This window comes from Homo sapiens, chromosome 2, assembly GCF_000001405.40.
Source record: "Homo sapiens chromosome 2, GRCh38.p14 Primary Assembly".
NCBI classification, from domain to species: domain Eukaryota; kingdom Metazoa; phylum Chordata; class Mammalia; order Primates; family Hominidae; genus Homo; species Homo sapiens.
In genome coordinates, this window is record NC_000002.12 from 174,873,520 (window position 1) to 174,886,502 (window position 12,983).

Here is a 12,983-nt window from a genome sequence, read left to right on the forward strand (position 1 = left end):
GCAAAGTAAAAACATTTAGAAGACTTGCCTTGTGAGAGACTAAGCCAATTAACAAAGCAGACTGACCATGCCCCTTTTGCTATTCCAGGGAACAAAGACTCCTATCATTCTGTGGAGGTATCCAAAGAATTCAAGTAGTTATGGCAGTTTTGGGCAAGGACCCAATTACATTTCAACTTAAAATTTCACAAGGCTTTTCAATACAACACACAGTCTGGAGATCCCAAAAGAATTCTTCAAAAATGGAACTTAAATGTTAAAGAAATTCCTTAAAAATAAATTAATATGACAATGTGCCAAGCACTGCATTCATTCCAAGCTTAGAGGGGAAGAAAAAAAATACACACACAGACACACATAGGTTATTTAGTGTGTCAAAGTTCCATAAAATAAAAAAATTCATTTTGTACACCCTTGATGTCTCAGGCATCCTTACATGTGGGACAGATTTAGATCTTAGATAACAAAATCCCAAAGTAAAGACATCCTGCCTAGATTCAGAGATCTGGCTCACAGTATGGCTTCAGAAATGCAAATTATATCATTTGTTTGATAGCTTATATTATTAACAATTATGTGAGACATTTCGAAAGTATGGTTTGGGGAAATTGAAATTATATTATTAAGTGTAAAATTATCATTAAAACTATTGCATTCAGCCATTGGTCCAGTATCTGTTGACATAAACATATTGTATTCACTACTTGGAATACCAAACTATTCAAATACAGTTCCAAGATAAATAGAAAGAAGTAACTAATAAAAGTTGGGCTCTTGGCCAGTCTGGACTGCTAACTTAAGCCATTTTAGAAGGGAAGAAAGTCTGGCTTCTCAAGATGCTGCAATTTCATGATTAAATATTTTTATCTATTTCAGTGTTTTCCAATTGATATTTCAGGCTGAGGAAGCAACTGAAATAGTTAATGAGAAAAATGACATAGCTATCACTTGGAAAAAAAATATTTTTCACACCAGATCCTAGGGACAAGTAAGAATCTTCAGGATTCACTCCTCATGGTAAAAACCTTCATGGCCATGAAACCATCCTGCCAAGCCTTTCCCGAAAGCTCAGATGCACAACTTACACCTTTAGGACTGCAACAAAAAAATAAAAACACTTGGAATTCTCATCTTTCTATTTTAAAACAAAGAAAGACCTTAGGAAATTATCTGGTTCAAAATTTCCCGAAGTGGGTTTCATGAAACATTATTTTTCAAAAATGTTCTTAATAATGGCAGGGTGATCAAATAAGTATGAGAGCACTCTTATAGAGTCATAATCATATTAAGTCATGAATAACGCAGAGAAGGCCTATAGAAAGGATCAGACTTTTATTTATTTTTTATTTATTCTTTTTTTTTTTTTTTTTTGAGACGAAGTTTCACTCTTGTTGCCCAGGCTGGTGTGCAGTGGCACGACTTCTGCTCATTGCAACCTCCGCCTCCTGGGTTCAGGTGATTCTCCTGCCTCAGCCTTCCTAGTAGCTGGGATTTCAAGCAAGTGCCACCACGCCCGGCTAATTTTTGTATTTTTAGTAGAGACGAGGTTTCACCATGTTGGCCAGGCAGGTCTTGAATGCCTGACCTCAGGTGATCCGCCCCACCTTGGCCTCCCAATGTGCTGGGATTACAGGCGTGAGCCACCATGCCCGGCCAGGATCAAACTTTTAAAAAAACTTAAATTTTCATCAAACCTATTTGAGCATAGAACCCTTTCTGCAGTATTTATTAAAATCCTGTATAATTATTGTTTTGTAGAAAATGCCTTATCTCATATGAAGAAACTGAAGTCCAGACAGGTGAGATGACTGTCCCAAGGTCATACAATTAGTTGGTGAATAAACTAAAAGCAGACCTCACTTCTCAGGACCATATCAGGTATTCCTTTTGGTACTATTGTTGTCCTTCTTCTACAATACCTACACTCCTTAAAGGATCACAGACTAGAAGAACCACATCTTGGAGACCACCTAGTCCAAAGCCTTCCCAGAAAGCTAGGGAAATACAGTTTCAGAAAAGTAAAGCAGTTTGCCCAAAGTGACATATAAAATTCATTCTTGTAGAACTAGAACATAGCTCTTAATTCCAACACTAGTATCTTTCCACAACAGCATGCTAATTCCTGCAAAGCCAACACTTTTGGCCTCTGAGGTAAAGAATTCACAGACAAGAGGGGTTTTAGCTATTAAGGGCCCATTAAATATTTATTAAACCATACTAGTGTCAATAGATACCTTAAATCAATTAAACATGATTGTCTTTACTTACAAATGTCATCCATTGTGACAGGGAATCAACGTTTCAAGCTGTTGAACAGGTCATCAACCCTGTCCTGTTGGATGACACCTGTAAATAAAATAAATCTATTTTTGAGTGAGTAGATTTTAAGCCAGCTAGATTTAAGATGCATGCGGTTTAAAGCAAAGAGTAATTTTAAAAATGATTCTTAATTATGTACTGCCGCAGAGAGATACTTCCCAGTGCCAGCAATTTCACTCTCAGTAGCTATCGCTGTCCACCAGCACAAAACAAGACCAGGGAATTCAGTACAGAAAGTTGCTAGAATACACAGGGAATCATGACTCCTGGAGCTACAAGGGTGTTCTAGGTATCTACCTCAGCTTACTATCTCTGTGAATATCAGTTCCACTTTGACTGGGGGACAACCAAGGCCTGGTGAAGTCAAATGACTTGCCTAATGTTAAACAGCTAAGTGTCTTTAGCTAAAGTCCCTTGGTGTTGGAAAGCACGTTCAGAATGCATTAACAAAGGTTTTCACTAGGCTGATCAATTTTGAAAGACTCACATGTACACATTTTTAAACATTTCACAAATGCTGACTTAGAATGTTCTAGCAAATCTGCAAAGAATATAATGTCAGTATTATTCAAATACAAGCATTACTAAAAAATGCCATAAATGGAAAATCAACCAATAGTCAGAAAATGGGAACTAGACCATGAAAAGAATATTAAATACAGCAGGTATTAAGGATTTTAAGTTCTGGCTACTTCCAAACAAGATTTGTGGTTCCTAACAATATGAATATATAAAAAAACAATTTTTATACATTTTCTACAGCTTATCCTTTTAAATGTTGTTTTCTCCGTAGCAACAAAATGCCAATGTAAGATCTGCCAAAAACTAAAATTTGAGCTGGACACAAACTTTCTTATTTCCATTCTGTACCCAAATACTCTAAGGTAATGGGAAGTTATTTGAGGATGCTGCCTTGAGGTCAGATGGCTGCTATATAATAACATTACCACCAAACTACATTGAGTGTCTACATGTGCCAAGTGCTGATGGAGCATTTTACGCTTGCTATCTCACTCACTCCTCACAGCAATTTGACCATTATTACAATTTTACAAATAAGACAATCAAAAGCACAGACAAATTAGGTATTACAACTTGCACACAAATCTTGCATAGAATCCGAGCTCAAGACCTATTGCATTTCTTTGGTTTAGCAATTGAAGATTCTTAAAAACATAAAAATGAATTGACACAGTTCCAATTACAATACCTAAAATGCCCCCAACTAAATGTCACACACTATAAAACATCAGGAAAATCTCTTACTTTTTTCTTGGGGGTGAGGAGGAGGCTGGTGGCAATTTTCAAAAGTAAAATAATCTTAATGCCAAGAAATTAAAACTTTTATGTTAACCTGAAATATATCACAACTAAAATATGACAGCTAAAAAACTTAAATTGTCTTTTAGAATTAATTGTCTTTTATAATTAAGGAAAAGTAAAAGTGAATCTTACTCATTCAATTACTTCTTAACAGATTATAAAGAGATAAATCCTCCTCCTATTCAAGAATGACTGACTCCCAAAATGTGTGTGTATACATACACACACACATAATATACACACACACATAAAATCTTGCTAAGAACACAACTATTTATAAAGTAAATTATCTTTAAGGAAAACAAAAAAGTAATTTTGAGAGATAATGCAACCCCCTCAATTACTTACGTAATAGTAGCTATCTTTTCTTGACCAGGAGTTATGCTTCTGACCAATCCCCTGAACTATTTTTTATTAGGGGCCATTTTTCCAACATAGTTTTAAAATTGTGAAACTGATAAAACAGAAAACAACCAGGAATATAAAAATTTACCTAACATATTTTAATAGAACAAGAATTAGTTATATGCAAAGCTCAGCATCACAGAAACTAGACATTAAGAAAAATGAATATACTTTCCAAAGCACTGTGGATAAATCAATCTCTTCTGGCAATAATGGCTTTCTTAAAAGAACCCCAAACAGAAAAAGATAAAGTGTGGTTTCATAGTAGCTTACCCTTTTCTCTGACACCCCATCCTGGCCTGTAGAATCTCTCTCATCATGTGTCTCTTTCAGGACTGGCATATGTTTTTTGTATGCTGGCTCTCTGTTTAAGGTTGTGTATCCTACGTGCTCATAAATTGGGTTTATCGTCATCTTGGCAATGTATTCTGCTGCCTTGGTTTCAATATAGAGAGTAATCAAGCCATCAGTCACCAGATCGTGGATGGACTCAAAGCGTTTCTCCCCAACAAAGTGCTTGCCATCGTAGTAGAGCCTGAAGTTTCTGGTTTGACTTCCAAATCTGCCTCAATGAAATGGGAAAGATGTTTTTAAGAAAAGTAAGCAACTGAATTCTTTCTGAAAAAAAAACAAAAACAAAAAAAAACTATCGCTTTGTTTTGTGTGTGTCTTCTTTGTTTAAATAAGCTGTGGCTAATCTCTCTGAATCGTCTGGAATATATAAAATTAAACCTTTGAACACAAAGAATGAGCTTGCAATAATTAGGGACAACTAGTCAAAAGCATGCCTACCATAGAAATAATTTTTTTTATTTATCTTTTTAAACCACTTTATTATACCTGTGGAAAAAATGGGAGAAAATAAACCTCACACCACATTAAAACATAGTCAATATTCAATTGGCCAACTCCATAATAGATGACATTTCTATACTAACATTTTTTCTTCAAGTTGATCAATAAGAATATTCAATGTACTTTAGACCTCAGCAGTCATGTATTTTAATAGGAAAGCTCCATTTAGGGCTAACCAGAATATGATGCCAGCAATCACTTAAAGTAGAGCTGACTCCAGAAACCTGAGCCATGCAGGGCAGGATGGCACAGAAACACACTTTCGCTACTTCTGGCCACAGGCCAAGGACTTATTCTTTCGTTTTTAAAGAGTCATTATTCTGTCTGCTGGTTAGGTCTGTGCAAGAAATGTTTGAAATACATACGGCACAAAAGTCATAAGCTATTGGACTATAGAAATTCTGTTTTCAATTTTATGTTCTGATGATGTGCTCTAACAACTGAAGAATAATGGTTTACTTTTATGATAATTTCAGTATTTTGCTTCCTGCAGCAGACCTCAGAAATGGATCCAATTTGGCATGATTAACATCAGTGTCCTTGCAGGAAGACACAGGCAAGAAAATGCACTGACTTTAATGAAAGCAGATGTCAAAAGGCAACAAGGCAACAAGAGCTGCCAGTGTAATGGTCTCCTGAAGGTAACCCCGAGTGAGACTAATTAAAAACTAAACAAGTCACAAAGGATATATTTAATTTCATTGTTAAAAGTACAACAGAACAGGGATGAACTAAAATACTAAAATAAACGCTGTTTAAGTAAAGCGTTAAATGGGACTATAAACTTGTTATATAACAAAATTGTTCTGGTATAGGTTATATTCCAAATGAATAGGAGTTAGGAACATCTTAATGTGGAAATAAAGTATGGAAAGGAAATAAAATATTTTTTAAAATAATAGCCAGACGATGTCTGTTTCTGTAGTTCAAATTAGACTTTAATAACAATTTAATCTAGAATCCAACGTACTATCCATGTTGGCCCTTCTAAAGCATAATTTATCCATCCTTTAGTAACAATCAAATTTTGATTTACACTTAAGTGAACTATCCATATAATTACACTTTCTTGTTCTCCATTTTCCTCTAATGTTAAAGACACATTTCTCCCAAGTATATTTTCATTATAAAGCCTAAAAAATTAGACAGGTGAAATTTCTACACCAAAGTTAAATATAAAAGTTTTTCAGTTTAATATACTGCTTTCATCATTTCCTTTTTTTCTAATATACATTATCTGCAACATGGAAAGCAACTCCATAGCTTTTATAAGACTCCTACAATAATAAACACACATAGCATTGAGTCCCTTTATATTTCGGTTGTATCAGACACATTTCAATGAGGGCTCAGACCATTTTACTCCTGCTGGGACTTACGATTTTACAGTGGGCATTTCTACAGTGGATACAGAACTTAAAAACAATCCAAGCAATGGTGTCAGTCATTTAGTACTCAATTGCCTTTTGAAATCTGAGAAGTATGGGGGGCACAGGGCATGAAGGGAAGATGGCTGCACTGGGAATGGTTTGATTGACTAGGAACTAGGAAGTCTAGAGTTAACTTCCTAGTTCTTTCCAATGGACGATGCCTAATTCATCCAAGAAGAGGCCTGGCTACCTGTAAGGAGCTGTGCAAAAAACCCTATTTATCCTTTTCTCTTTCTCAACTCAGTGATTTCAGGAGACCCTGCCCACAATTTCCAATTCCTGCTCCGCCTGTACTTCAGCTCCAGGCTTCCAATCCAATAAAACTTTCAGTCTAAAGGGAGATGATCACATAACCAAAAAACTTATAACATGGTTTGATTAAAACTTTGCTTCAAAGGGTAAAAATAAAAAATTTCCATTTTGGAATTATGATTGATCTTTTTAAAGAAAAACTGCATTATATTTTACTAAGAGAACTGCCAAGCTTTCCTGGCCTACTCTGAACTACTCTCTTTTACTTGGGAAGTTACCTAGGAACAGCACCACAGCACAGACTGTCAAAGATTTCTCCACTTTCTTTATCTGAAAGGCATATTGTGCTTTGTGGGATTAGAAGAAGAGAAAGAAGACAGAAAATCTTTGAGAAAGGTGGGAATGGATGTGCCCATTCTACATAAGAAGAGCCATAAAGGGGGAGATTCCAAATCTAAGGTCAAAGAAAGACTCTTTCCTTGAAGTTCACTGCTTGCAGACTGTCATTTATTCAACAAATAGTTAACAAAACATCCAGGTACTTTACTGTCAAGTATTAGGTGGTTCACAATAGAGTTCCTATCGCTTGGTAACCCCAGTGGTAAAAAGATAAAACAGGTCAATACAAATACACAAAGTGCTAAATTTAAAAAAGTCTATCTTGCCGGGTGCGGTGGCTCACGCCTGTAATAACAGCACTTTGGGAGGCTGAGGCGGGCGGATCACCTGAGGTCGGGAGTTTGAGACCAGCCTAACCAACATGGAGAAACCTGTCTCTACTAAAAATACAAAATTAGCTGGGCGTGGTAGCGCATGCCTGTAATCCTAGCTACTCCGGAGGCTGAGGCAGGAGAATTGCTTGAATCTGGGAGGTGGAGGTTGTGGTGAGCCAAGATTGCACCATTGCACTCCAGCCTGGGCAACAAGAGTGAAACTCCATCTCAAAAAAAAAAAAAAAAGTCCGTCTTCAGATTGATCTATTTTAATAACTATATACATATAGAATCTTGCTCTTATGTAGAAAGATTCTGTAAAGTGATTCACAAAACCAAGTGAATCCAGTATCTCCCTCATACCATAAAACCAAGAAACTCACTGCCTAGTAAAACAGAGCACAACAATTAGGCTTACATAAGATCTCAGAGCTACTGCTTATGTCCAAGTACAAAAGCATCCTTGCAGTCTTCTCCTGTAGTCTTGAAATATGGTTTGGCCAAGGGAAGGCAAATGTGGGTCCTATATGTTTAAGAGAAAACCTTAGGCTTTGGCATCAGACAGTTGTAAGTTTAAATCCTGGATCTGCCACTTCCTAGCTGGGTGACTTTGGGGAAATCATTCGTCAGATTCTGCATCTAAAAAATAGGAATAACATCACCCTACCCCAGATGGCTGTGAGGATTACATGAAGATATTTAAGTCAAAGCTAAATATATATAGTAGGCTCGAGTGGTAGTTCCCTTTCTCCTTCTCTGTTAGCTTAGGCCCCTGCAGAGAATGACAGAATGAGTTACCAACACTAAAGTAAAACAGCAAAAATATTCAATAGATATGCATGGAAGATGGCTAAATAAATAACTGGCAACACTGGCTGTACAGGAACATCTCTGCACTGATTTACTTTACAGTTAACAAAAGGCAAGGAGGAGCTCTTTGTGAAATTTTCTCCTGGATGTCTCTGAATAAGTTTGTATTTGCCACTTGGTTAAATAGAGTGGGAAGACAACAGAGTGCAAATCGGGTAGGAGGAGCAAGCAAAGAAGGTCTTTCCACTGTGTCCTGGGAATGAGGCCTCTGAATTCAAAGGAGAAAGCTGAGAGATTTACATATATTGAAAGCGGGACATATTAAGTGGACCTAGTGACAGCTACTGAACCCTAGACTACAGAGCATTGATTTGTAAAAACTGTTGAGGCTAAATCATTTCCCTTTGACTTTTATAAGATAATTTTCTTTTCATCTTTTCCTTTTATTATCTGACTCTGCCCTTGCTTAATAGCTGTTTATTCCTTGGTGAACATACTTGAAGCTGCATAGGCCCAACTCTCACCTAGGTAGAGTTCAGCAAGATGAAAATTCATTTTCTCCAGAGTGTTACTATAGTAAACAAATAGAAAAGAAAGGCTTTTAACTGCTACTGTTGTACATAATGCCACTTTCTAGAAAGAATATCTTTCTCCAGTGATTCCAGGTTTCGGGTTTCCTATTTTAAAAAGCTGTTTAATGCTGTGCCCAGATGCATTCAGATGCATTTCAAGATATACAATTCTAACATCTTTTTAAAAATAAACAAAATCCTTAATATACCATCTTTTCTATTTTTCAGCAAATAAATCATATCGACAAAAAATTCAGTCTAGAAGAAAAAATGATGACAAAATATATACAGAATAGCTTTCGGAATTTTACTTTACTTTATGCAAAACCAAGAATTAATTCTAATTTGAGGCCAAAGTGATTTGAAAGGATCTCTTCAAAGGAAAGCTCCAAGCTAACAGATGTTTTGTGTTAACAAACAGAAAACAAAACATATACAACACACTCGTCTAAGCTTACAATAAAATGTTAGAAGTATTTCCAGCAACCAACATACAAAAACAGTTTTATTTATCATAAATATATATTTGTCTGTTGTTTACCAGAGTCAAAAAAGCTAATCTAATGGTGAAATATAAATATACATTCATTCAATCATAAGATACTCTTGGAAGAAAATTTAAAACAGAAATAAAATATGATGATGCATTCGATTAAGTACTACAAAATAAATTTAGATGAATTCTATGAACTAAGGAAGGCTATGGAAGAGAGAGCATAGTTATATACAACATTAAAATGATATCCCATCCAAAACTTTGTCAGGCTATGACTTTTGTCTATCTTGCTATACAATTTTGGATTATGGAGAAAAGTATTAAATTATGTCAACACATAATGATATTTCCTTGGCCAAATAAATCATTTTCAGTGAAGAAGAAATCCAATTTGCCTAACTAAACTTCCAAAGAAGCCATCTTCTGAACAGTGGAACTCACATAGCTCTGGAAGGTAGAACTGATATAGAAGGATTAACTCGAAGTCCGTTTAAAAAGCAGTTAGATATTCCTCCTGCCCTCCCTAATCCTGTCCCTATTGTTATCCCTTCACCACCATGGCAGAAGACTTAAGTTCTGTTTTCTAGGCAGGATAAAACAGGGAGATAGTGAACTGAGGGAATACAAGCAGAGGTATCATCTTGAAAACTAAGTGAAAGTTTTAAATACCCAAAATTTAAATACTAAAGAAACTGATACCTCCATTTCTCTTCACCATGAGGCTATCGGAAGGCTTGTACCTTTCCTGATAGGAGACTGAAAGATTCTACTCTTGGAAATCTGATCAACTCAACAAAAAAAGACTTAAGAGTAGAGACCATCATCCTATAATTGTCAGGCTTCCTCCAAGCTCTCAGAACTACTAGCCAGCCTTTTAGGGTCCCATATGCTTCAATATGAGCAGTCAGCCAAGGGCCACCTGACATCTGAGGAAAACTCCCCTCATGAAAGACAAAGACTATGATAAACAAACAGAATCAAAGCAAGTTAGAGGAAACAAAATCATGCATGGGAATGAAAATATGCTCAAAAAACCCAAAATAAGATGTTTCCTGTTCCTATTCTTGAATAGAATTTAACCAAAAAACATTAGAATCCTGTAAAAAAAAGGAATATAGAATATATAGAAAAATAAGTAGAAAAAGGAATATAGCATAAATGAAAGTTTTTTTAAAAAAGTTGAGAAAATTTTAAAGAACAAAAAGACAAAAAGATAAAAAAAAGGAGAGAAAATAATTAAGATAGAGAATCAATCCAGAAAGTCTAACTTCTTTTTTTTTTTTTTTTTTTTTAGACGTAGTCTCGCTCTGTCGCCCAGGCTGGGGTGCAGTGGTGCAATCTCAGCTCACTGCAAGCTCCGCCTCCCAGGTTCACGCCATTCTCCTGCCTCAGCCTCCCGAGTAGCTGGGAGCTACAGGCACCCGCCACCATGCCTGCCTAATTTTTTTGTATTTTTTTAGTAGAGACGGGGTTTCACCATGTTAACCAGGATGGTCTCGATCTCCTGACCTCGTGATCCACCCACCTCGGTCTCCCAAAGTGCTGGGATTACAGGCGTGAGCCACCGAGCCCGGCCTGAAAGTCTAACATTTATAGAAAGAGAGAAGAGACAAAATGGAAGGGAAAGGAATCAAAGCGATAACTCAAAAAATTTTATTATAATGGAAGAACACACATTTACACAATGGATGAAAACAGACCTACACCAAGAACTGGTGCTCACAAAATAGTCCAGTAATTGCAAATAAATCCTCAGACTGGCAAAATTTAACAAGCCTAACAATACTAAGTACCAGCAAGGATACAGAGCAGTTAATATAACCAGTACCTGCAATATTGTTTAACAAAGGGGTTTTGTATTATTTACTAAAGTTGAATATATACATACCCTACAACATATAAATCCTACTCCTAGGTAATATCCTAGACAATGTGTGTGATTATATGTACCAGCATATATATACATCTGGCAGCAACATCCATAAATGGCCAAACCCACATTAAGTATCCAGTAAAACAGAAAAAATTACGGGACACATACTGTGATAATTAATATTATGCATTTGAGGGATCCTATCACATGATTTTTCCCTCTTGAAAATTGTTAATGGTTCACTATTGCCTATGAGTCCTTAAGAATCGGTTATTAGTTTTACTTACTTTAAAGCACCAGAGACTGGCATAGTACTTGGCATATATCATGCCTCCTAAGTAAGTGGAATAGAATTAGTAAAGACTTCATAAATAGTTTCCCCTAAGTTAGCTAGCTATATGTAACAATAAAAAGAATTTTTGAAAATACACAGAAATTAGCCGGGCGCGGTGGCTCATGCCTGTAATCCCAGCACTTTGGGAGGCCAAGGTGGGCGGATCACGAGGTCAGGAGATCAAGACCATCCTGGCTAACATGGTGAAACCCCATCTCTACTAAAAAAAAAAAAAATCAGCCAGGCGCCCGTAGTCCCAGCTACTCAGGAGGACGAGACAGGAGAATCGCTTGAACCCGGGAGGCAGAGGTTGCAGTGAGTCAAGATCACGCCACTGCACTCCAGCTTGGGCGACAGAGCGAGACTCGGTCTCAAAAAAAAGAAAAAAAAATATATATATATAGAGAGAGAGAAATTACATATAACTGCCAAAATATAATCAGGTTACCGTAGTTTTGCTGGACATAATTTAAAAAGTGATAATTACCATGATAGAGTGTTTGCCATTTACAGAGCCATAATGGTCTTAGTGTGATGACCTATATAATATGAAGCTGCTTTTTCTATTGACATTTGGGAGTAAATAAGTGATATACAATTTTTCTTTTTTTTCTGAGACAGAGTCTCCCTGACCTCAGGCTGGAGTGCAGTGGCATAATCTTGGCTCACTGCAACCTCCACCTCCCTGATTCAAGTAATCCCGAGTAGCTGGGATTACAGACGTGCACCACCAAGCCCAGCTAATATTTAGTAGAGTTGGGGTTTTGCCATGTTGGCCAGGCTGGTCTTGAACTCCTGGCTTCGTGTGACCTGCCTGCCTCAGCCTCCAAAAGTGCTGGGATTACATTCGTGAGCCTGGCCTACAAACAACTTTTCTAATTTAGTGAGCCAATTATAGTAACTTGTGCTACCTACTATGTTTCATTTTACTACTAAACCACAGGACCAATACTAAATACTGTGTCCCACTACTACATAAATTTATATTTGTACTTACAGAAAAGTATTTTACATGCATTCCAATCATTTAAAAACTAGAGTAGGCCTAGAAATAATCAACATGTTTGAATAATAGACTTGGCATATTCAAGAGTTGGTGATCAGTCCCATTAAAAGCTAATTGAAATCTTATTATAAATGAGGTTACTACTATGTCAGGATAAAAAGTCACACCATGACAGAAGTCTACAAAAGCACAGAGTAAAACATGAGTGTGAGTGCTTATAGAGTTCTATACATGTATAAGTGTGAGTGTGTGTATAAACACAAACCCACAAATTCATATGCAGGTTTTTCAGATCCCTATTTAATTCTGTTAAACAATACAATGCTTTTATTTAATCATTTCCATATAAATTACACCATCCTAAGTATCATATGTGGAATACAATTTAACATTTTTCTTGGTGACTCAAGTTTATTAACATATTAGTGTTTGAATACAGAAATATCCCAAAGACTATTGTAGTGTATTGAGTTGCCTTTCTCTTACCTAAATTGACCCCAATTATTAAACTTCTAGTTCTTAGATCTAGTTTTATATTTCTAAATCCTCCTTGCAGGTTATTAACTGTGTTCTCCTTCCAATTCGCTTTTTATCC

The 12,983-nt window shown here is 36.3% G+C and overlaps 1 protein-coding gene across 5 annotated transcripts in view, besides 1 other annotated feature; it reads right to left on the minus strand.

The window, feature by feature from the left end:
• The window catches only part of CHN1 (chimerin 1), a 206,573-nt gene that overhangs the window by 74,711 nt on the left and 118,879 nt on the right, over nt 1-12,983 (minus strand). For 4 of the 5 annotated variants that reach the window (NM_001822.7, NM_001025201.4, NM_001371513.1 and 1 more), the window contains one exon: nt 4,321-4,609. The exons of the other annotated variant lie outside the window; for it this stretch is intronic. In NM_001822.7, the coding sequence (NP_001813.1) occupies nt 4,321-4,609 (289 nt within the window). The remainder of the gene's footprint in view (nt 1-4,320; nt 4,610-12,983) is intronic. 5 annotated transcript variants of the gene reach the window in all.
• Nucleotides 5,042-5,336: a silencer, noted in NCBI's record as "tiled region #13906; K562 Repressive non-DNase unmatched - State 23:Low". NCBI's record gives its function as "represses a minimal TATA promoter and a strong SV40 promoter by Sharpr-MPRA in K562 cells {active_cell/tissue: K562}" and the evidence as "EXISTENCE:reporter gene assay evidence [ECO:0000049][PMID:27701403]".